At 39.7% G+C, this 25,580-nt stretch overlaps 1 protein-coding gene and 1 pseudogene across 1 annotated transcript; one reads left to right on the top strand and one right to left on the bottom strand.

Moving 5' to 3' along the window:
- The first annotated feature begins 5,325 nt into the window (after positions 1 to 5,325).
- Positions 5,326 to 6,085, top strand: PPIAL4D (peptidylprolyl isomerase A like 4D). Its single transcript, NM_001164261.2, has one exon. The coding sequence runs from the start codon at positions 5,376 to 5,378 to the stop codon at positions 5,868 to 5,870; it is 495 nt and encodes a 164-aa protein (NP_001157733.1). The 5' UTR covers positions 5,326 to 5,375; the 3' UTR covers positions 5,871 to 6,085.
- VOPP2P (VOPP family member 2, pseudogene) lies at positions 11,738 to 14,660 on the bottom strand (annotated as a pseudogene).

The raw sequence follows: 25,580 nt of genomic DNA, 5'->3' as shown, positions 1-25,580 counted from the left end.
CAATAGACTCATGGAACTTAAAGAACTAGACGCCAGCTAACAAAACATGCTATCCAGGCTCTTTCGTTTCACCATATTGCTTTCTTGAAAACATAGGACAGTGCCAGTTTAGCACTGAAAAAAATCAGTTCTCCTAATTCTAAAAAGAGGAGACAGCCAGGCGTGGTGGGTCACTAAAAATACAAAAAATTAGCTGGGCATGGTGGTGCATGCCTGTAATCCCAGCTACTTGGGAGGCTGAGGCAAAAGAATCACTTAAACCCGGGAGGTGAAGGTTGCAGTGTGCTGAGATAGCGCCATTGCACTCTCGCCTGGGCAACAAGAGCGAAACTCCGTCTCAAGAAAAAAAAAAAAAAAAGAGAGAGAGAGAAACTGTAATTTCATTTCAGAAGTTTTATAGGGTACTATTTCCAATTCTTTTTTTCTTACTCCATTAAAGTGTAATTAGCAGTATGTGAAAATTTCCACTTTATCCTCAATCAGAAGCCTCTCCTTCCAATTAGCATATATTTTTTCTATTAACTTTGTAAAGTGGGATTCTTGTTTTATACATACCCATGGAAAGTATACTTAAACTGTGAGACCCTGGGATTTTATATTTCCAAATAGAAGATACCATCCTCTTGTATCACAAAATGTACCTAAGATGGTTTGGATTATATTTAAATATTCTTGAATGAAATAGACTTACTGACTGAAGCCAATTATTATATTTTTCCACACCAAAATAAATGCAATAGGAAAAGATGACAGTTCTATGTAGTATTCCTGCTTCCATATTGCACAAATTAGAAACATACATATTCCATTATGTTACAGGGTCTAGGGCTTTGGGAGGACAAGGCTGCAGGCAGCCGAGATTGTGCCGCTGCACTCCAGCCTGGGCGACAGAGTGAGATCTTTTCTCAATAATAATAATAAAAGTAAAAAGAAATATAATATTTAATCAATATATGCACACACATGGGTTTATCATGACACACACGACATGTGTGTACAGTGAAAAAAATGAGTAAATCTAGAAACCTGTATTGCCTCAATAGCTAGCTAAGTACTTCAATATGCATGTTTATTTCAACAATTTTGTGTTAAGCTTCAGTGGTAAATAAGCAGAGTACACTGACCATAATGAATACTTCTTTTGATGAGGGTTATCACTACACAATTAAAATATTACATAGTTGGCTGGGCACGTTGGCTCACACCTATAATCCCAGCACTTTGGGAGGCCGAGGCAGGCAGATCACCTGAGGATGGGAGTTCAATACCAGCCTGACTAACATGGAGAAACCCCTTCTCTATTAAAAATACAAAATTAACCAGGCGTGGTGGCACATGCCTGTAATCCCAGCTACTCAGGACGCTGAGGCAGGAGAATCACTTGAACCTGGGAGGCAGAGGTTGTGGTGAGCCGAGATAGCGCCATTGCACTCCAGCCTGGGCAACAAAAGCAAAACTCCGTCTCAAAAAAATATATAATAATAAATATATATATATTATATATAATCAATATAAATATAATATATAATAAATATATAATATGTATTATACAAATAATAAATATATATATTATATATAATAAATATATCATATAGATGATATAGTTTAGAGTTAAATACTGACTGCTCTTGGGAACTTTGAGGTATTCTGAGGGATATAAATAACACGAAGAGAATAGCACATTGGCTTGAAGCAGATTAGAGTCTGCTACCTGCGTGAATACTTGTTTTTCATGAACTATGAGGATGCCCTTAGCTTTTGAACCACTTCTACTTGTGTTGAAATTTACCCTTTAATTTTGGGGTTTGACAGGCTCTGCCCTTCTGTTATGCTTGAGTCTGGCTTTTCCTACTCTGACTCACTTTGATTCTTGACCTCTGAATCTTATTCCTATTTTACAATAAACACACATCGCACATACGCCAATTAGTAGAGTGGAAGAGGGAAAAATTGCCAAGGAACTATGTTTAATTTTGTTCCTTTCGCAAACCAGACACCATAACAGAAAAATTTTAGGAACATGTGCATGTTCAGTAGCCTTCAATGCAATTATACTGGTTATTAAAAAGTGTTGGATAATCAATATTTTTTAAAGATTCACTAGTCCCTTCTGATAATTTTAGAACTTTGGGAAGTAATAATACAAATGTATTTTTAGCTGTGTCCTTTAATCTTTTACTGTTTCCTCTATGTGTGGTGTTTGGTTTGTGTGTGTGTGATAATTATTATAAAGATCAGAGGCTAACAGAGGTGTTAATCACGAACTTTTAAATTTTTTTTATTTTTATTTTTTTAGTTTTTTTAAGAGACAGAGTCTCGCAGTGTTGCCAAGGCTGGATGCAGTCACGCCAACTCAGCTCACTGCAACCTTCGCCTTCAGGGTTCAAGCGATTCTGCTGCCTCAGCCTCCCAAGTAGCTGGGACTGCAGGAGGGCACCACGATGCCCCACTAATTTTTGTATTTTTAGTAGAGATGTGGTTTCACCATATTGGCCAGGCTGGTCTTGAACTCCTGATCTCATGATCCGCCCACCTCAGCTTCCCTAAGTGCTGGGATTACAGGCGTGAGCCACCGCGTCTGGCTGCATGACCTTTTAACTTGTCTCATACACTCAATATTCTCAAGATATACCTTCCAAAGTGCAAAATTATGGCACTTTGCAGCCCTGACCACTAACTGAGAACTTTGATGCTTTGGATTTTGGAGACCTCATTTTATCACCTGGTCCTTTTACTTCATGACTTGTCATGCTGCCACATTTTGATGGGATTGAGATGAAGATAATAATTCCCAACTGGTCAGGAATATTGTGCCCCTTTGTTTTTATATCCAGATGCAATAGAGCCTCTGACACACCACTACTATTGTTCTTAGGATTTGGAACAAAATGCATTTCTTTGACAAAATAAATGTTTTCTTTAAAGAACTCTTGATTGATCCTGGACCATTGTAGAAACTGAAGTCCTATCAATGCAAAAAAATATGACAACATGAGCTGCTTATCATGAAATAAGTGTTTTCCAATTAACTATCCTGCTTCATCAGCAGGTAGGAATAATAGAATCTATACCTATGTCTTCATGGGAAGTTCTCTATGGCCAGTTGATTAGTGAGGGAAAAATTGAGCCTGATTTACAGAAGTCACTGTACAACATCACAGCAGCAGCCAAAAGTAGATTGCTTAGGCATTATAACCTACGTGAATGCAATTTTAAAAGAAATTCAGCCTATGTAATTGGTTGTCCACGATGTCTAGAAGGAGAGATATTATTGATGTATATGTGGCAGCTAATAATTTGTCTAGATAATTAGGGACTTGGGGCCAGGCCTGATGGCTCACACCTGTAATCCCAGAACTTTTGGAGGACAGGACAGGTGGATTGTCTGAGGTCAGGAGTTCGAAACCAGCCTGGCTGACATGGTGAAACTCCGTCTCTACTAAAAATACAAAAATTAGCCAGATGTGGTGGTGTGTGCCTGCAATCCTAGCTACTTGGGAGGCTGAGGCAGGAGAATCTCTTGAATCCAGGAGGAAGAAGTTGCAGTGAACCAAGATTGCACCACTGCACTCCAGCCTGGGCAACAAAGCGAAACTCTGTCTCAAAAAAAAAAAAAAAAAAAGAAAAGAAAAGATAATTAGGGACTCGGAAAGACAAAGACTGAAGGATTGGTGGCAATGAGTTTTGGGGAAAAAATATGTAGATGAACCACAGAAAATGAGCCAGAGTGTAAGAATATTTGTGCTTAATACGAATGCTCACCAAACTATCATCAGGAAGGTTATCAAATAGATATGAAGGTATGAAACAATCTCTTTCACCAGGCACTACATTGCTTGCTTAGAAGGCTAATAAACAGCAACATTGGTGGTAGCAGTAGAGAATACACATAGGTTCAGCAACATGTTGGACTTTACCACTCTCGCTTACAAAAGCCTATTTAGCTGTCAAGACTATTAGGTGTCCAACACACAAGCAACAAAGTCCAAGGCTAAGCACACAATAACATATCCTGGGTGAATAAACCAGTCACCTTTTGTCAGACTTGTTGATTTTATTGGAACTCCTCTATGATAAAGGCAACAAGGAATTTTGTAAATGGAATCTACCTTTAACCTTGAATTACATTTGCTTTACCTGACATCATTTTTCTCTGATCGCCACTCTCCACGGGTACATTGAATGCCTTATATATACTGCCATAATATCCTGTTCTACATCCTTCTCTTAAAAGAACTTGTTGTATAACAAATGAGTAGATATTCATTGGACTCACCTGGTCCACCATTTATCCTATCACTAACCAAAATTATTATTATTACAGAATGGTGAATATTTTATTAAAGACTCAATCACAGTGCCAGCTGGAGACAATGGCTTATAAGGTTGTACTCATGCTAGAGGATGTGGTGGTGTATCCTCTGAACTAGTAACTAAGTATAAGCTTGTCTGGTGTCTCCTATATAAAAAATACAACAATCTTTGATATTTGTTATGAATGTTGAAGTGACTCCTTTTGTCATTACATCTAATGATCCACTCCAAATACTTGTCTCTTGTCTCTGAGATTCTAGGTTTTTGCAGAATTAGTACCCAAAGGGAGAGTCTTAGCAGTATTCCATTTTACAATCCATCCTTCGTTAGAGGATGAGAGACTTCTATCTAGCCTTTTAGGTTGCCTGAGACCTTTAAACAAACAGTCAAAAATTTAAAATTTAAAATGCGGCTACACTGTGGCATGGGGTAGTAAATCTTGACCTTAAAACTGGTATTTGTAAGAAAAACAGAAAGAATTCAGGGATCCCCTTTGATGGCTCCTAATTCTATACAGTCCTGTAAATATTCCTGAAGACTAACCAGGCGTGGTGGTGCACACCTGTAATCCCAGCTACTCCAGAGGCTGAGGAAGAGAATCACTTGAACCTGGGAGGCGGAGGTTGCAATGAGCTGAGATTGTGCCACTTCACTCCAGCCTGGGTGACAGAGCAAGACTCTGTCTCAAAAAAAAAAAAAAAAAAAGAAGAAGAAAGAAAGAAAGAAAGAAAGAAAGAAAGAAAGAAAGAAAGAAAGAAATGAAGACTGCCACAACTTGGAAGCAACCAAGATGTCCTTCAATAGGTGACTGCATAAGCAAAATGTGGTATATTCCTACAGTGGAATATTATTCAGTGCTAAAAGGAAAAAACTATCAAGCCACAAAAAGATACAGAAAAACAAAGACATTTTGCTAAGTGAAAGAAGCCAGTCTGAAAAGGGTACATACTGTGATTTCAACTATACAACACTCTGGAAAAGGCCAAACTATAAAGACAGTGAAAAGATCAGTGGTTATCTTTGCAGACGCCACCATCGCTGTGAGCCCTGTACTATCAGCCATGGTCAACTCCGTCGTCTTTTTTGAAATCACCAGGGATGGCAAGCCCTTGGGCCGCATCTCCATCAAACTGTTTGCAGACAAGATTCCAAAGACAGCAGAAAACTTTCGTGCTCTGAGCACTGGAGAGAAAGGATTTCGTTATAAGGGTTCCTGCTTTCACAGAATTATTCCAGGGTTTATGTGTCAGGGTGGTGACTTCACACGCCCTAATGGCACCGGTGACAAGTCCATCTATGGGGAGAAATTTGATGATGAGAACCTCATCCGAAAGCATACAGGTTCTGGCATCTTGTCCATGGCAAATGCTGGACCCAACACAAATGGTTCCCAGTTTTTCATCTGCGCTGCCAAGACTGAGTGGTTGGATGGCAAGCATGTGGCGTTTGGCAAGGTGAAAGAACGTGTGAATATTGTGGAAGCCACGGAGCACTTTGGGTACAGGAATAGCAAGACCAGCAAGAAGATCACCATTGCTGACTGTGGACAATTCTAATGAGTTTGACTTGTGTTTTATTTTCACCACCAGACCCATTCCTTCTGTAGCTCAGGAGAGCACCCCTCCACCACATTTGCTTGCAATATCCTAGAATCTTTGTGCTCTTGCTGCAGTTCCCTTTGGGTTCCATGTTTTCCTTGTTCCCTTCCATGCCTAGCTGGATTGCAGAGTTGAGTTAAGTTTATGATTATGAAATAAAAACTAAGTAACAACAACAACAACAAAAAAGCTCAGTGGTTGCCAGGAGTTTGGGGATGGGTAGGGAGATAAACAGTTCTGAAACAGGCGATTTTTAGGGGATTGAAAATACGTTGGTAATAATGTAATGATGGGTACATGACATTATGCGTTTTGCAAAACTCCTAGACCTGTACCACACAAAGAGTGAACTCTAATGTAAACTGGGGGTGGGATAAAGGTGACAGTATGTGAGAACTCTGTACTTTCTGCTCGATCTTTCCATAAAGCTAAAACTGCTCAAAAAATAAAGTCTATTATTTTGTTAAATGAAAGAAATTAACAATGACCATGGCACGCTCACACAAAAAGATTATCAAGGACATTTCTCTGTCAGGAATGAATATTTGGTCATTTCACAAGGCAAAACCCTGACTAGCAGAGGTGTTAGCTGAGGGCACATGGCCATAGATGCCAATAGTGACCTGCTGGCCACTTGCAGAAAGGAGAGCCTTTACATCCAAACACATTGTTTCTCTTGTATTGTCCTGTGCATACTTATGTATCTTAACAACTTTCCTTCTTTCCTCTCCATTTATCCCTCTTTTTAAAACAGGGCTTATTGAGGGTGATTAACTTAATTTTTAAATGATATATGGCAGAATGTCAAGAGAGTATAGTGAAGAACTTTGTAGAGGAATGGACATAACCCAGAATTCTTAGACTTAGAGTACATGCTGTGATTGAGAATTTTTTATTGTTTCATTGTTCAAGAGATTGTAGGTACATGTTCAATTATTAGAGAAATAGTTGCACTCTGTTAGAAGGAAGCTTGGGTCTTTCGTGTTTACTTTCAAAAGGGAAAGTTTATATTGATATTGAGCAAGTTAAAGCATGAATATTTACTATTTGATGTTTGTTCCTGTGTTTGAGGAATTCCTCAGCCTCTCAGTTTTGACGAAAACAAGAAACCACCTCCTGCTTTAGAAGCTAAAATGTCAAATGCTTGCTTTCTCAGCCTCCTTTGCAGCTATCTGTTGCAAAGCGAACAAGTGGGAGTGGTGCTGGTGGCTTTGCAGTTAGCCTAGGATTGAGCAATTGCTGCAATTGTTGCTCTCTGCATCTTCGGTGTTACTTCTTACTGGTGGTGACAGTGGTTTCCTCCCTGGATGAGTTCTACAGCATGGTTTGGGGTACATTTCCTGGCTGCCTAGCTTTGATCTGGCTCTCTAGCCTTCTCAACAGTTCTACAAGTTCCCCACTATTTCTGTGATAAACCTATTTATTGTTAATGTCAGCCATAATTGGCTTCTGTGGTTTATATTTTTTAAAATTCCAAGATATACCAACGTAACAGATAGCTCAACAAACATATGTCTTTTTAAATTAAGATATATTCTGTGTCACATGAAGTACAATGGACAAAATGCAACAAATTGAATTGAGCTAAAGACCAAATATATATTAAGCCTGGCTGGTCTTAAAAATGTAACTGGATACAGCCAGGCATGGTGGCTCACGCCTATAATCCCAGCACTTTGGGATCCTGAGGTGGGCAGATCACCTGAAGTCAGGAGTTTGAGACCAGCCTGGCCAGCATGGTGAAACCCCATCTCTACTAAAAATGCAAAAATTAGCTGGGTGTGGTGGTATGCCCCTGTAATCCCAGCTACTCGGGAGGTTGAGGCAGGAGAATCACTTGAACCTGGGAGGCAGAGGTTGCAGTGAGCCCAGATCATGCCAATGCACTCCAGCTTTGGCAACAGAGTGAGACTTTGTTTCAAAATAAAAAAATAAAAATAAAAAAATAAAAACGTAACTGGATAGACCTAAGGATCTTGAATAAGCAGAAAATAATTTAGGTAAAAACCAAATAATAAACTAACATTCTGAAAGGTTTAGGATTTGGAGGCCCAAATGTCTTAGCTAAAAGTGTTCATTCTAACCTCACAGGAAAATTGAAATATGAAAATATACAGAAAAATCTTAGGCAGTATTTATCAATTTTAAGAAACAACTATTTACAGGTTTTTCAATAGGCATTACATTAAAAACAAAATATATAGTTAATAAATATGAAAACTGTGGATATAATCAACACATTTATTTTACTTCTTGAAGTGTTAACATGTGCTGTCTCAAATATCAACAGTGTACACGTGAGAAAAAACATTTTACATAGATTTTCTGCGACAGAAAACAGCATCTCATTAGACATCCCAAGTTTTTTTCATTTGGAACACACACTCATTCCCCAGTATACTAGGGGTAATAATAATTTAAAGAGTTTAATTACTTTTTACTACTAGAAAACTAATTTTATGTTTGGCACAAATTTCTGAAATGATATTCCACTGCAAAGAATAATACCTATATATGGCCAGAATTACTTTTCTTCTATAACATTAAGATAATACTTGTCAGCCTGAGCAACAAAGTGAGACCTCATCTTTACAAAAAATAGATAAATTAGACGGGTGTTGTGGTGATGAGGGTCTGTAGTCCCAGATACTCAAGAGGCTGAGGTGGGAGGATCTCTTGAGCCTAGGAGGTCGCGGTTGCAGTGAACTATGATTGCACCACTGCACTCCAGCCTGGGTAACAGAGCAAGATCCTCTCTCAAAATAAAAATAATAAAAAAAAAGATAATATTGGTATAATTCAGGGTTTTTGCCTCAATCCCCATGCTTCTTCATTTGACCTTCCCTGACTCCCTGATGAATTTTAGTTTGAATTTTTGCTATAGTCCAGAAGTTAATTTAAAAGATCTTAAAATTTCCACCTGCCTAGATATTACTTATTTGTTACACTTTAGTCCATGATTTCTATTGTCATTTACATTACCCCAAAAATATGACCTGCTGAATTTCTGCTGTCATGAATTGACTAACATATTTTGTGCCTAAAACCTTTACATTTAGAATCTTTTTGTTTCGTATTGGAAAATATTGTAAGTCCTCCATTTATTGGTCAAAAGCACTGCCTATTTATTTCCATGCTTAATCAGAGAGACTTTCCAATAGTTATTTAATATTATTTACGTTCATTCACTTGTTGACTATAATGAGGTTAGTTGCTATGATATCTTTAGGTCATTAATATAATAAAAATATGTCAACTTTTCTCTTCCAATGTGTCTTTGGGTTATTAATTTTTAACTCAGGTATCAAGCTTGTAAAATGTTTAATGGCTTATAATAATGTCTAACACATAGTATCCACTGAGTTCTGATAACTCTGGTTTATCAAATTCTCTTTTTTTGTACCATTCTCCAAATGCAATGCTATTTGGTTTTATTTTTATTTTTTAAAAATGTGCTGCCTGTTTTGAGTCTCTAAAAGTGTGAAATGCTCAGCATTTCCCAAATGTATTTGAACATGGAGTGTTATATTTACTAAAAAGTTAACAAGCAAGTATTCCCCTAAACACTCTAGCAAATACTACTAGTACAGACAAATTATGATGTAACATTATAGTACATTTTAACTTATTAGGTTAATTTTGGTTGCAAACAATCAAAATTCAAAATGGCTTGTATAATAAAGAGATTTTGAACAATAGTATAGGCTCAAGATAGCCTAATGCAGAAGTTTAATAATGACACAAAATAAATGCTTCTTGTCCTCCCTGTTTCTTCACTCTACCTTAAGTGATATAGATTGAATGTTTGTATCCCCCCCAAAATTTGTATGTTTAAATCTAATCCCTAGTGTGATGATATTTGGCAGTGGGTCTTCGGGGGGTGATTAGGTCATGAGGACAGAGCCCTCATGAATGGGATTAGTGCCCTTATAAAAGAGACCTTAGAGAACTTCCTTGCCCCTTCCACCATGTGAGGACACAGCAAAAAGACAGCTGTCTGTGAACCAGGAAACAAATCCTCATTAGACCCTGAATCTGTTGACACCTTGATCTTGGACTTCCTGGCCTCTAGAACTGTAAGAAATAAATTTATGTTGTTCATAAACCATCCAGGCTGTGATATTCTGGTATAGCGACCTGAAAGGACTAACACATTAGGTCTCAGTTTTATTCTATGGCTTAAAATATCATGTCATGAGTAGACAACTTCCAATCCTAGTACCTCATGCTTCCTCTGCTGCATTTGGAAAGAAGGCATTTCCCTCTTCAATCATGGAATGAAAAAGTTGTACTTCATTCTGATTTGATTAGCAGAAGGCACAGGTTCCTTCCATGCACCAATTACAATGACCAAGAATTGGGCATGGGACTCATGTCACTTAAACATTGTGAAGCTGAGAAATTCATTATTTGGTTAGGAGTGTGTGAGAGCAGGGAACACTGAATGCTTGAGACACCACCACGATGTCCACTACATGTATTTCCATTTCAGTAAACATTTCCATTAAGATAATGCTAGAACAAAATCAGAGGAGTAGATCTTGGTGTCCCCAACTTTTGTTGACCTAACAAAGTGAAGTTGCTTCAACTGGACACTTCTGAACCACATTTATGCCTATATGTTCAGTTCAAATTTATTATAAGCAATTTTCAGGTCCATATGTTTAGGATATTTCATTTGTTTGGTTATGCATTATATGTATACATGTTTTTAACATACATACACCTCTACATATATTTTGGAGGCCTTTACACAAAAGTGTTTTCCCTGAAGGGAGAAGAGAAAAGTTGAATGCAGAAGTAGAAAAAAAAATTCATTTGCACTTGTAGTATTTATATCTAAATATTTTATATTACAGATGTATTAAAATTTTTATAATTTTAAACACTACTTTAAAACAGGGAGATGGTTTACCTTCAAAAAATTTGGCTCTCAACTCAAAGTTATCAAAGTATATCCTAGATGTAGTTTGCTTGTCAGGCTTCTACATGAAAATCTAAAATGCTCCTGCATTTCAGAATGAGCCTAACATATGTAATTGCACTCATCCACTATGTCTACATTGCCAACCAAATACTGACAGAGAGAGCTAGAGTGCCACAGAGAGCTGGCAGTTCCTCTGTTTGCATTAGCTTCTACTTGCTTCTTCATCTTTCCTCTATGTCTGACACATTTCATGTTACTGTTTTTAAATGTTCCCTTAGCTACAGAGCTAATGTGCTTATATCTGTAAGGGGTCTCATGTGAACCTCTAAATAATTAAAGATTCATTAGCTCCCTGGAGGGCCACCATGATTTCCAAAACAAGTCACAATACCTAAAGATCTAATTGTACAATTTCCCTCAGAAATAGCCTTGAGAAAGAAGTCACATCACTCAGCAATGAGTATTATAATTACTCACAGCAGTTTTCATGGTACTATATAACATCCAATTTACAGAATTAAAGGTAATGTAATTCAAAAGAAAAATAGCTGGTTTTAAGGAATGAAGGGCCATGTCAACTATTGGAAGCATCTTTGAACTGGAGCCTCTATGTTCGGGTTTCACCAGGTTTATGTTTTTAATTAATATCCTATTCAGCTTGCTGTAATTTCCATTGAGGTTTTCTAGAACAAGACAAGTCAGAAATTGATCTTTAATTATAAGCTAAGAGCAAACTGCCAAAGAACTGAGAGAAATTTTGAAGAAACAGGTCTATCAGGACTAACCATTTTAAGATAGTAAAGACTAATCAGACACACACACATATGCACAAAAAGAGGGAGAGAGAGAACAAAAATCCTATGAAATACATTTTAAAAACTTAATTTTTTTTTTTTTTTGCCCAAATTTATTTTTATTTTGCACACATAGGAAACAGGATCCTATCAAAAGAGAACAAAAAAGAGAAATGAGCCAATTGTTGCAGAGGAAAAGCATGCAGAGATCTGCTTCAAGTTTACTCTGAACCACAGACGCTCCGGGAATTCTACACACCAGGAGCTGTCTCACTCCAGGAAGTGGGCACAACCCACCATCCACACAATGGAAACAAGAATGGCCAGGAAATGTCACCGAAGTGGGACTTCCATATGCAGGATCAGCGTTCACAGTAGCACAATTCTAACCAAGTTCAAGGGAAAACAAACTCTGTCTCACACAAACATGGGAATACAAAATTGTTGAGCCCTAGCCATCACTGTCTCTTAACATTATTTGCTATCAAAAAGACAAACGAAATTTAGTCACGGACTTTTGGGTGCCTATTCAGCTGCACCCGATTCCAGGGGCAGCTTAGTGTGCTTTTTCATTACAAAAAATAAAGACATTAAAAATGCAAAACAAATGACCTGGAGGAAGAGGAGTGTTTGGACCCACGCAGTTGTCTTGGTTGTAAACAGTGAACATTGTGCTTTGTTGTCTCATTTAGATGGAGGCCTGCAGCATGGGAGGTACCACGCTGGCAGTCAGCAGTCACACCAGGGTGGTCAGAGACACTGGTGGCAGCATCTGTGCTTGCAACTGCATTCCCAGGGTGTCTGTTTTGTTCCCAAGTGTCTCCCACAAAATTCCCCAGGAGGTTCTCCGATTAAATGTCCTCAGAGTGAAAAGCATGGACACCAAATCACTCCGTATCCATTTCCATGAGATGTCTTGATGCTCCAGTTCAATGAGTAACAATTTCTCAAGAGTCTCTGATTAGTTCATTAAAAAATAAGCACCCCCACCTCATTCCCCGTGATACAGCACATCTAGTAATCTAGGCGCCTCAGCTAAGCTGCATAGCTCTTAGCACACAGGACAGGTCAGCGTTCACACATCAACACTATAACTATGCGGCGGAACTAGCTCCCCGCTAGCCGTCAACTACTCAGGAGACTACCTGTGAGATCCTGGGGTGAGCTGTGATTCCTATCCAGGAATGTGCATTTCCAACCACTTCTTCTTTATTCTAATTATGACAACATGGTCAGTGCAGTTGAGTCAGTACTTCTCCTGTCTTTTCCCAGCAAGCTCCTCCTCCTTGGAGCCCAGCACACACCCGCTTAGACCCAACACAACCTCAGAGAGAGACGCCTCAGCTGGTCTCTCTCCCTGGAAGAGTCCATGTGACTTCCCAGCCAGATGTGCCCCCTGTTTTGAAAGCACCCTTCAGAACCCACCACTGGAGCTGCCTGAGGGAAGGAGACCCCCGGGCCTGAGAATGACCTGGAGAGGCAGTGATGTCCAGGGAAGACACACACCCAGTCTGATTTCAAAGGGCAGGATGCTCTACATGCACTTCCATAAACACACCAAAAAATGGGTAACAGTCCTTTCTCCAAATCAGACCAAGAGCTCACAAAATGCAATGTCTCAGTTTGGGGCAGGAAGTGATTTCCCATGAATTTAAATAAATTTGCTTAGTGGATGTCAGATCACTGTCAGGCCTCCAAGGCAAGCCTGATTCTAGGCCCCATCCTGCGGTGAGAGCTGCACGTGCTACCCTTCCCTGGCGGTGCAGGAGAAGTCTATCTTTAGGATATGAACAGAGACAGAAACATGACAAGGGGCTTGCTCTCTCCTGAATGTCTCTCCAACAGCTTCTGGAAGAGGAAGGCTGACGAGAGGACAGGCTGGAGCAGATGACCTGCTGGGCTCAGCTCAGTCGGCTGCTGCTTCATCGGCTGAGCCGCCCGGCGTGGGGCTTCCTATTAATACCCGGGCAGAAGGATGCTTGCCTGGGATGCTCGGCCTGGCCCCTCTACATGCCACCTGCACCTCCAGCACTGCCTTCTTCCTCTCAGTCTCTCTCCTGTAGATCTGGTCACGCCACCGTAAGGACGTCAGCCCTCGGGGACTGTCACCACACTACCATGTGAGAGCACAGACTGCGTCAGAAACAGAAGCAACAGAGGAGACAAAGTGTGAGTTCATATATTGTACTCCATGGAAAGCCTGAAAGAGAGCTGTGCTTGCTGTGAGGATATCAGAGGAACTGCCCTTAGCAGCCCACGAGACCGTTCCTGGAAGTGAACATCAACGAAGACAGAAAGGCCAGGGAAAGGCCCTCTCCTGTCTCTCCTCTTGCACGTGGGCACCCCACTACTTGGCCTTCACTACCTGTTCGTACGGGGGCGGAGGCGTGTTGCAGTAGGCTGGAGGGGGCGGGCAGGCCACACTCCCCTGGGGTGAGTTGGGTGGGACCTGGAAAGCCATTGCCATGGAATTCCCGACAGGGTTCATCCCCGGTCCTCCTGGGTCGGTGTAATAGGGTGGCCCCGGCTGCTGGGCTCCTGGGCCGGGATTTGGGGGCTGCCTGGTGTAGGACACATTGAAGGCTGGCTCCTCGATCAGCGGCGGGGGGTACATGCGCCTCCGGATGAAGAAGCCGGCTCCGCAGCAGAAAAGCACGCCCATCATCAGAAGGAACCAGAAGTACCACAGCCACTGTATGGAGAGGGCCCGCACACAGCACCTGGAGCCACAGCAGTCCTCGTAGGAGCGGCATATATAATAGGTTGGATAGAGTCCTTCGAAATACCAGCAATGCTTTTTGGCTTCTGTGCACTCCAAGAGCAGCCCGAGCAGCAGCGCCGCCACCTTCGCAGGCTGGCGCCTCATGGCTCCTCGCGTCCTCTCCAGCGCGCCCGGACGCCGGGTCGCAGGCGCGCTTCGCGACTCGGCCCCCGCGCGGGGCGGGCGGGCAGACTGCAGCCGGGAGCCGTCCCGCCGACCGCTGAGGGGCCCGGCTGGGAGCGGGCGGGAGCCGGGGCGCCGCGCGCTCCCGACACCAAAAACTTAATTTTTTTAAGAAGAAGCATTTGATCTGCCAAAGAGAAGAGTTAGCAGTTTGGAGATCTGACATTGCTAATCTCAGGGCAAGAAAATAACAAAATAAGACACCAAAGAATTACCTAAACTGTGGAAGATGAAGCTTTCAGAGTTCTCACAGAGAAATGGGATACTAAAGTACCAAGTTTAAGAGGTGTAATCTATTAATGTTTAATTTATGTCCCAAATACTTAAAAACTATGTTTCATTGTTATACATATTTATTTTATTGTAAAGATAATGAATGCAGTAGGGTTAGATTTAAATAATTCATTGGGTTTAAAATGAGAAATGAAAGTCTGGCTTTTTACAACCTACAGTCTTATCACCAAAGTTAGCTATTGTTAATAACTTCTTGTCCATTCTTGTATGTGTTATAGTTTCTTTCTTAGAAAGAAGTATGCTATACTAGTATACATACTATTTATTCATGAACCTTGCACTTATCATGTAATCATATGTCTTAGTGGTCTTTTCATAATAGATGTCTCTCTTTCCCATGCTGTCAGTGGTGATTGCATGAGGCATTGTACAGACGTACCAATAATTACTTACTCTGTGTCATATTGTTGGTTATTCAGATTGTTTTCACTTTGTCCTTGCAGACAACACTGCAATGAACATCCTTATGCATATATTATTCCAAATACATCATCGTGATGGCTGTGTGAGAGAAATATACATTGTTGATTTTATTTTTTTATTTTTTATAATTTCAACTTTTGATTTTAGATACAGTGGGTACATGTGCAGGTTTGTTACATGGGTATGTTGTGTAATGCTGAGGTTTGCGGCATGATTGATCCGATCACTCAGGTACTAGGCATAGTAGTTGTTTTTCAACCTTTACCCCCTCCCTCCTTCTACCCTCGAGTAGTCCCCAGTTTCTATTGTTCCCATCTTTGTGTCCACGTGTACTCAATGTTTAGCTCCTGCTTATAAGTGAGAATATGTGGTATTTGGTTTTCTATTCCTGTGTTAATTCGCTTAGCATAATGGCATCGAGTTGCATCCATGTTGCTGTAAAGGACATGATTTTATTCTTTTTTATGGCTGCAAAGTATTCCATGACATATATGTACCATATTTTCTTTATCCAATCCACAGTTGATGGGCACCTAGGTTGATTCCATGTCTTAGCGATTGTGAATTACACTGCTGATTTTAATAGAAACCACTAATTTTTATGCCAAAAAAATCATCAATGTGCACATGCTCCAAGGCTGTGTGAGCATAGCCCTTTTTCTTGGGATGTCAACAACACTGGGTTTTATCAAAATATAATTTTTGCCAATTTATTAGTTAACAAATGCTAACTCAGTGCTATTTGGATTTGAACTACCACTGGTGCTGAGCAACTTTTTACATATTCACTGGCAATTTATTTATCTTTCTCTGTTGTTTATCTTTTTCTGTGTAATAATTTTCCCTATCTTCTACTCTTTTAAACATTAAGTTTTCACTGTTTTCTTAATAATTTTTAAGTTTAAAAAGTGACCTTTTGGCTGGGCGCAGTGGCTCACGCCTGTAATCCCAACACTTTGGGAGGCCAAGGCGGGTGGATCACAAGGTCAGGAGATCAAGACCATCCTGCCCAACATGGTGAAACCCCGTCTCTGCTAAAAATACAAAAATTGGCTGGGGTGGTGGCACGTGCCTGTAATCCCAGCTACTCGGGAGGCTGAGGCAGAAGAATCACTTGAACCAGGGAGCTGGAGGTTGTAATGAGCCAAGATCACGCCACTGTGCTCCAGCCTGGCGACAGAGCGAGACTCCGTCTCAAAAGAAAAAGTGACCATTTTATCTGCTGCATATAATTCTAATGATATTTCTCAATTCGTTTATCTTTTAACAATGGTAATATATAATGTCTTGCTATTTAGAAAGATTTTTAAAAGTATTTTACATAAAGAAATTTTTATTCTTTGCCATTAATACTTGCAGGTTTGGAATTTTCAGGACCTCCTCAAAGGCCACCTACAGGAAATGCTCTTCAAAGACATTTCACTTTTTCCCCACTTGATTGTGGAGCAAAGACTAACACTGGCAATGCTTTGAAGTACTTGAGTCAAATGGGTCTCTCATGTGGTCATTACTATACTCACTCTCAGGCTCCAATGCAAATTGTTTCCTTATGCCAACTACTCTTGCTTTCTTTTAATAGACCTATTCCTCCTGGGCTGTCTGAAACTAACATTTAATTGTAAATAAAGTCCTGCAAATCCTTGGTATCTCAAAGAACCCTCCTTCCATTTAGTTTTAGGATAACTCTCCTTCTAAAACTCTATTCTTCTCCCTGGAGTCCAGACCCCCATTCCTTGCAACAAATGAACTCTTGATTTGAGCACTGAAGGGAGATAATTGGAAGTTTGACTTTGTGTTCTAGGTTTTCCCTGCCAATATATGCAGCGTCTTTAAAACTAATTGGGCTGAGGCAGGAGAACTGCTTGAACCCAGGAGGAGGAGGTTGCAGTGAGCCGAAATTGCACCATTGAACTCCAGCCTGGGTGATAGAGCAAGGCTCCATCTCAAAAAAAAAAAAAAAAAAAAAAAAAAAAAAAAAAAACAGCAAAAAGAAACTAATTAGGTTCAAGAAGTTCGAATGAATTCAACTTAGACAAGCTCTTAAGCAGACATGTTGGAAGTTCCAGAAAAGACAGTTTGGGAAAATATTTTATTAAAAAAAAAAAAAAGACTGTCCTCCACTTCCTCACTCTTTCTTCCCACTTATTTTCACTCCACTGGTGCAGTTTGGTGTCAACTCTCCTCACTCTACTGAAACTGCTGCAGCCGAGGTTACTAGTTATTTAATTAACAAAAGCAACAGATTTTGTTTTTTTAATTGCATTATACTCTACTATTTTGTGACATTTAAACTATTGACAATGTCTTTCTTGAAAATGTGTCCTTTCTGTTTTTTTCAAAACACGACTTTCTCCTTGATGTCCTCCTTTTTCTCTCATTATTTCACCTTTACATTCTCTGCTGACACCTTTCACCTTACCAAACCTTAATTAAATGTGTATGCTTCCCAGTCTCCCATTCTTGGCTCTCTTCCCTTCCCTCTTATTGATCATTATTGTATTCTGTGATCTCACCAATTCTCTTGGCTTTAACAATAACCAGATGACTCCAGAAAACTATTCAAAATTCCGGACCTATGGAGACTTTGCACCCAGATATGTACCAACAACTCAACCTCAGTTATCTCTAATATTATCTCATTAAGTGCCCTCTAACTACAGAATGACTCCTCCTTCTGGGTTTCCTCTGCCTGAATGGCACCACCATTCAGTGGCCCACGAGAAATGTGGACCTCATTTGGAACTTCTCCCTTTCCCTCATGTTTCATTTTCTCTTGGCTAAAGAGTTATTAGATTCTTCATTTTTAGCTTTTCTCTAGCCTATCTTCAATTTTATAGTGGACAGTTAAGTATACCCTATATCCCAGGAGAGAAGGGATATCTTCTTCTATGCCCCTACTATGAACTAGCATATCCTTTGAGTCCTTTCTTTGTATGAAGCACTGGGGAAATTTAATCAACTTCATAATCACTTATAATCCTCACAGTAATTTTATGAGATAAGTTCTATTTATTATCCCTATCTTAAGGATGAGGAAACTGTGGTTTAAAGAGCTTAAGTAATTTGGGCAAATCATAAAAGAAGCAGTGAAGACAGAATTCAAATCTAGGCAACCTGAAATCTGAGCCTGAGCACTTTGCCTCCCTAATAACTATCTCCCTTTGAGAGTTGTATTACAAAGTTGACAACATTTAGCAACCCTTATTCCCCTCCCCACCCCTATCTCTCTCCAAGAAATCTGCTGTGAGGTAGAGAATGTGTTGATTTTCTCTGCAGTTTTTAGTGCATAGCATAGGGCTTAGAAAGGAGAAAATGTTGAAAAATATTTATTAAAATAATTGTTTTTCTTTGATAGTTGTTATAACCATCTAATTGTGAGTGCTTAACAATTACTATAAAGGAGAATGGAAATCACAGATCTTTTCACAGAATTTTTTTTTTTTTTTTTGAGACAGAGTCCAGCTTGTCACCCAGGCTGGAGTGCAGTGGTGCGATCTCAGCTCACTGCAACCTCCACCTCCTGGGTTTAATCACTTGCCTTGGCCTCCTGAGTAGCTGAGATTACAGGCGTGCACCACCATGCCTGGCTAATTTTTGTATTTTTGGTAGAGATGGGGTTTCACCACATTGGCCAGGCTGGTCTGAAACTCCTGACCTCCAGTGATCCACCCATCTCAGACTCCCAAAGAGCTGGGATTATAGGCTTGAACCACCGTGCTGGGCCTTTCTCAGATAATTTATAGTTTACCTGGAAATGTAAACCATATATACTTAAACTGAGGGATATTTACAAAAGAGCTTTCTACTTAAACCACAAGAAGCTGTATTAATAACAAAGCAAATCAAGCTTGTTCACAGGCAACTGAATGGAATGAATGGTTTTGATTGGTGTTGCCAGTTATATTTCTAACAAGAGAAAATTCAATGTGAGCCTCATTTGGAAACAAGATATTACAGAGAGGAAAATTTGGGATTAAGGTCAGATTTGGTGCAACTATGCTAGATACAGAAAAGGCAAACTTTCAGCTCAATCCCCAGCTAAGTACAAGTTCAATGGTGAAGGCATAAGAAAATGAGCCATTATAATAAGTCTGAAATAAGTTTATGATTCCACCTCAATATGGGCATGCAATATATTCTAACATTTAATCCCTGGAAAAAATGATGACATCACACTGAAATCTTGACTCATAAGAGAACTTTTTTATGCTGTTCCCTAAGTCAGTTTATTTCTACTTCATTCTTGCGTTAAGGGTAGGCTCAATTCTTACTCATTCAAAAATGGTATCACCTGAAGCTTTTCTTTAATTCTTGTTTTCTCTGCAGTGAGAAAATTAATCAAGGGGTTAAAATGTATATTAAATTATATATGTATTATATGTAAAAGTTATATAATATAGATCAGAGAAGAATATATTGCATATGTTATAGGCTGAATTGTGTCCTTTCCCCAAATTAATATGCTGTACCCTGCCCCCTGCCATCCCGGTATATCAGAAGGTGGCTATATTTGGAGATAGAGACTTTTAAGAGGTAACTAATGTAAAATGAGGTCACATGTCTGGGTCCTAATCCAATATCACTGGTGTCCTTATTTGAAGAGGAAATTTAGGTACAGACATACATGTGCACAGAAAAAAGTCCATGAGAAGACAAGATGAGAAAATGACTATCTAAAAGCCAAGGAGAGAAATTTCAGAATAAAATTAACACATCTGATGCCTTGACCTCACACTTCTAGCCTCCAGAACCGTGAGAAAATAAATTTCTGTTGTTTAACTCATCCAGTCTGCAGTAATTGTTATAACAACCCTAGCAAAGTAATATAGGAAGTATATATATATATATATACACACATACATATATATATACACATATTTGTGTGTGTGTGTGTGTGTGTGCGTATATATATATATATATATATATATATATGATAGAGTAGATAGATAGAGACATATACAGTCATCCCTCAGTATTAGTGGGGTATTGCATTCAGGAGCCCTGCATATACCGAAGTCTGCACATACTCAGGTCCCACAGTCAACCTTGCAGAGCTCGCATATGAAAAGTTGGCCCTCCACATATGTGGGTTTCACGTCCCACAAATACTATATTTTCAATCTGTATTTGGCTGAAAAAATCCACCTATAAGTGGACTCACACAGTTTAAACCAGTGTTATTCAAAGGTCAACTGTTGATATATAGATATATAAATATCTCATATGTATAGAGCAAGCGGGAGAAAAAATCTCTAATCTCTCTTCCTTCCTGCTCTTTTTGGATTGCAAACTCTTCTCTCATAAGTACAAAAAGTAATGTTAACAAAGTAAAGAGAATTGGAAATAGTAGTGTTTTTGACCACTAGTGTTTTGTAATTTTAGAAAAAAAAATTACTGAAATGTAACTTTTTATTTATATTGAGATGTTTTGACTCATACTCCAATCATACAGAAATAATAGATAAAATATGAAAAAGACTTCTTTTTACATACATAGCTGGATTAAAATATTAGAAATAATTTTCTTCCCTCAAAGGATCCCCTGTTTAATAAACGGTGCTGGGAAAACTGGCTAGCCATATGTAGAAAGCTGAAACTGGATCCCTTTCTTACACCATACACAAAAATTAACTCAAGATGGATTAAAGACTTAAATGAAAGACCTAACACCATAAAAAACCCTAGAAGAAAACCTAGGCAATACCATTCAAGACATAGGCACGGGCAAAGACTTCATGACCAGAACACCAAAAGCAATGGCAACAAAAGCTAAAATAGACAAATGCGATCTAATTAAACTAAAGAGCTTCTGCACAGCAAAAGAAACTCTCATCAGAGTGAACAGGCAATCTAAAAAATAGGAGAAAAGTTTTGCAATATACCCGTCTAACAAAGGGCTAATATCCAGAATCTACAAAGAACTTCAACAAATTTACAAGAAAAAAACAACCCCATCAAAAAGTGGGCAAAGAATATGAACAGACACTTCTCAAAAGAAGACATTTATGCAGCCAACAGACACATAAAAAATGCTCATTATCTCTGGTCATCAGAGAAATGCATATCAAAACCACAATGAGATACCATCACATGCCAGTTAGAATGATGATCATTAAAAAGTCAGGAAACAACAGATACTGGAGAGGATGTGGAGAAATAGGAATGCTTTTACACTGCTGGTGGGAGCATAGATTAGTTCAACCATTGTGGAAAGCAGTGTGGCGATTCCTCAAGGATCTAGAACTAGAAATACCATTTGACCCAGCGATCCCATTACTGGGTGTATACCCGAAGGATTATACATCATGCTACTATAAAGATGTATACATGCACACGTATGTTAATTGTGGTGCTATTCACAATAGGAAAGACTTGGAACCAACCCAAATGTCCATCAATAATAGACTGGATTAAAAAAATGTGGCACATATGTGCCATGGAATACTATGAAGCCATAAAAAAAGATAAGTTCATGTCCTTTGCAAGGACATGGATGAAGCTGGAAACCATCATTCTCAGCAAACTATCACAAGGACAGAAAACCAAACACCGCATGTTCTCACTCACAGATGGGAGTTGAACAATGAGAATGCATGGACACAGGGTGGGGAACATCACACACTGGGGCCTTTCAGGGGGTGGGGGGCTGGAGGACAGATAGCATCAGGAGAAATACCTAATGTAAATGACAAGTTGATGGGTACAGCAAACCAACATGGCAACATGTATACCTATGTAACAAACCTGCATGTGGTGCACACGTACCCTAGAACTTAAGATTAAAAAAAAAAATTTCTTCCCTCATGAGGTACAAAGCCAAGCATTACACTGGGGCCATGATAGTCCAGGTTGCTGAAAGATTTAGATCTAAAGACCGAAAATTGGGATATATATTGAGAGAGAGAGAGAACAAATGGTAACCTAAATTTAATAAAATAATAATAGACAAATTAGGGTAACAGGCATATGAGTATTTTTTGTTCTAACAATTCTTTTATTTTCAAACTTATCTATAATCTTACATTTATTTCCCAATAAAAAGGATTTTAAGTTAAAAAAAGAAAGTTTTTCTGTAGTAACATTTTCACAACTAGGGCCTTTAAGACTGAGGAAATACTCCAAGCTCTGAGCAAACTCAGTAAGTATAAATCCTTATGTAGACATACCACAGTAAAATGCAAGATACTAAAGACTAATACAATATTTTCAAATCAACCAGAGACGGAAGGCAGATTACCTGCAAAGGAAGGACAATTACTTTATCACAGACTTCTCTTCATCAACGAGAACAGACAATACAGGAATAACATCTCCCAAGTTGTGAGGGAGACTAACAGATGACATGAAATTCTACGACCAAATAAAGCATAATTCAATGGGCAGCAGTTAACAGAATTAAGCTGTTTCCAGACATCTATGGAGAGATTTAACTCAAAGATGTCACTGTAAATTTGATTGTTGAGATGTAGTAATGGATACTTGGTAAGGTTATTGAATTAGTTAAACGATCTTCAAAGCTTAGGTCATGTATCTTCATTAAACACATGGTGCTTTGCATTTACTAAAGAAGGGCTTCCGTTTTCTCTCCAAATAAATCATTGCGACCTTAGCACCCCAAGTGTAAAAACCTCTTTTATTTCTATTCTTGATCTCTAGTCCCTGCTTATGTGTATGCATAAATGCATGACACCGTGCTTCTCTTTTAGTTATTTATTTCTAGAGATCATGTCTTTGAAAATCATTATATTCCCAGCAACTATTTAGAGTGGTACTAAGCTAACTTGGTTTATGGTGTCAACCGCATAGCAGTTATTTGATTGGCCCATTCCTTTATAAAATATTTTATGCTTAGATGATGAACTCTACATAAATTCAGCCAGGAGAATGTTTTCCTTGGCAATCTCTGGGAGATTACAAATGTTCCTTTTTTTTTTTTTTTTTTTTTTTGAGATGGAGTCTCGCTCTGTCTCCCAGGCTGGAGCCCAGTGGCGCGATCTCGGCTCACTGCAAGCTCCACCTCCTGGGTTCACGCCATTCTGTTGCCTCAGCCTCCCAAGTAGCTGGGACTACAGGTGCCCGCCACCACGCCCGGCTAATTTTTTTGTATTTTAGTAGAGACAGAGTTTCACCGTGTTAGCCAGGATGGTCTCGATCTCCTGACCTCATGATCCGCAAGCCTCGGCCTCCCAAAGTGTTGGGATTACAGGTGTGAGCCACCGTGCCCGGCCTACAAATGTTACTATTAACTCCTCCTTCTGCTAAGAAATAAACCAAAATAAAATTATTCACAAATATAACTGTTTTGATCATGCTTTCAGATGATATGTAAAGTAGCCCACAGAAGGTAAATAATATTCAGGGGAAATAAATTATTACTTAAGAGTGGGTGCTGAGAAAAAGAAATGTGTGAAGTGTGAGGTAGGAAGTATGTGAGAAAAGCTAGGGCACAGTTGTGTCTTATATTTTTGTTAAAATCTGCCTGTTAAGACTTCCTGATTGGGTAATGGGAATGATACAGTAAAATACTCTTCCTCAGAGTGTCTGACACCATTGTGATAATTTACTACATAAAAGTACAAGTTACATTATATAAAAAGACAGAATGGCCTGGCTCAGTGGCTCACGCCTATAATCCCAGCACTTTGGGAGGCTGAGGCAGGTGGATCATCTGAGATCAGGAGTTCGGGACCAGCCTGGCCAAAAGGATGAAACCCTGTCTCTACTAAAAATACAAAAAATTAGCCAGGCATGGTGGCAGGCACCTGTAATCCCAGCTACTCAAGGGGCAGAGGCAGGAGAATCGCTTGAACCTGGGAGACGGAGGTTGCAGTGAACTGAGATCATGCCACTGCACTCCAGCCTGGGCAACAAGAGCGGAAACTCCGTCCCCCCAAAAAAAAATGACTCCAAGAAACTGAGGTTTCCAGATGAGGGTTACACAATGTGGATCTAAAAGCAACAGGGAAAGGAAAAGGATTTGGGCCCAGAATGTGGGGAATTTTAGATGCTGCAGAAAGCCTTCTGGTGTCTTTCTAGAATGGCTGGATTTTGGTTAAGGCAAAGAAGAAGTAACTTTTCATGGAGAACAGTAGCATACAGGAGTGCGGATGGTTTGATCATTTAAGGCAGGGATGTGAGGTTTGATGGAATATGTTGATAACAAAGATTCTTTGCTTGGCCAACTTTAGTCAGGCTTCTAAATCTTCAGCTAGGCTAAACTGTGCACTTCCTCGCAAAATCCAGCATTAGCAAAGAACACTGCCAAGTTTACCAAAGAACCCCTCATTCTCAATATCTGATCAGGTTCTTCATTCTTCACCATTCTGCAGGTGATGTCTGATCACCCTGGCCAGTCTTCAGCAAGAATTCTTTTAGGGCGGTTTAGCCAGAATCTCCCTTACTCCTGATGTTTCCTCTTAGTGATTTTCCATTCACTGACCCCTGCATTGCTCCTGGGCTATAAATTCCCACTTCCGCATGCTGTATTCAGAGTTAAGCCCATCTCTCTCCCCAGCTCCAAGACTGTGTTGCAGTGGTTCCTATATCTATGGTGATGGTCCTGAATAAAGTCTTCTTTACTGTGCATTTGAAGTATCACTGAATAATTTTTTCTTTAACAACTATGGTGTTGAAACTCAACTAGGACAGATTCATCACTGGATCCTGGGCCTCTCACTCAGAACCCTAAATGCATGCCTTTGAAGTCTTTGTTGTCATTTCTGACTGATTAGGGATCCATTGGTGAATCAGATTCCTGAGCCATTGCTCCAGACAAAAGCCCGTTGATGGCTAAGGACAGATTTTGAATCTGAAGGGATGAATATTCTCTCTGAAGCTGGGGTAGAGTCCCAGGCTTCTTTTGAAAGCAATCCTCTGGGCAGGAAGGTCTTCGTGTGGGCTTCTTGTTCTGAGTGGTCTATTCTCTGAGTCCCTAGGCTAGAAGTCTCTTCTTTCTGGCTCTCTTTTTCTGAGTGAGGGGTTATTCCCTGATTCCCTGGGCTACAAATTGTTCTTCCTGGCTCTCTATAAAACCACTCTGCTCTTTCTCTTCTCTCTATTGGATCCTGCTTCTCCCATGGGAGCTCTGTCACCTGAAACCCCTCTTCTCAAGTCTCTGCTGACTATTTCTCTGTCCACTCTTGCCAGACCCGTTTCTTTTCTGCTGAACTTCAGGACCCCTATCCTACCCTCCTTTGAGGGGGCTCTCAAGGGACTCAGAGGCCCCTCAAAAACAAGCACCTGGGGCTGATAATAGGAGAAAAAAAGAAACTGTTTGGAAACTGATA

This window comes from Homo sapiens, chromosome 1 (assembly GCF_000001405.40).
Source record: "Homo sapiens chromosome 1, GRCh38.p14 Primary Assembly".
Taxonomy (NCBI): Eukaryota; Metazoa; Chordata; class Mammalia; order Primates; family Hominidae; genus Homo; species Homo sapiens.
The sequence above is the reverse complement of the archived record's forward strand: the minus strand, read 5'-3'. Positions and strand labels throughout refer to the sequence as shown.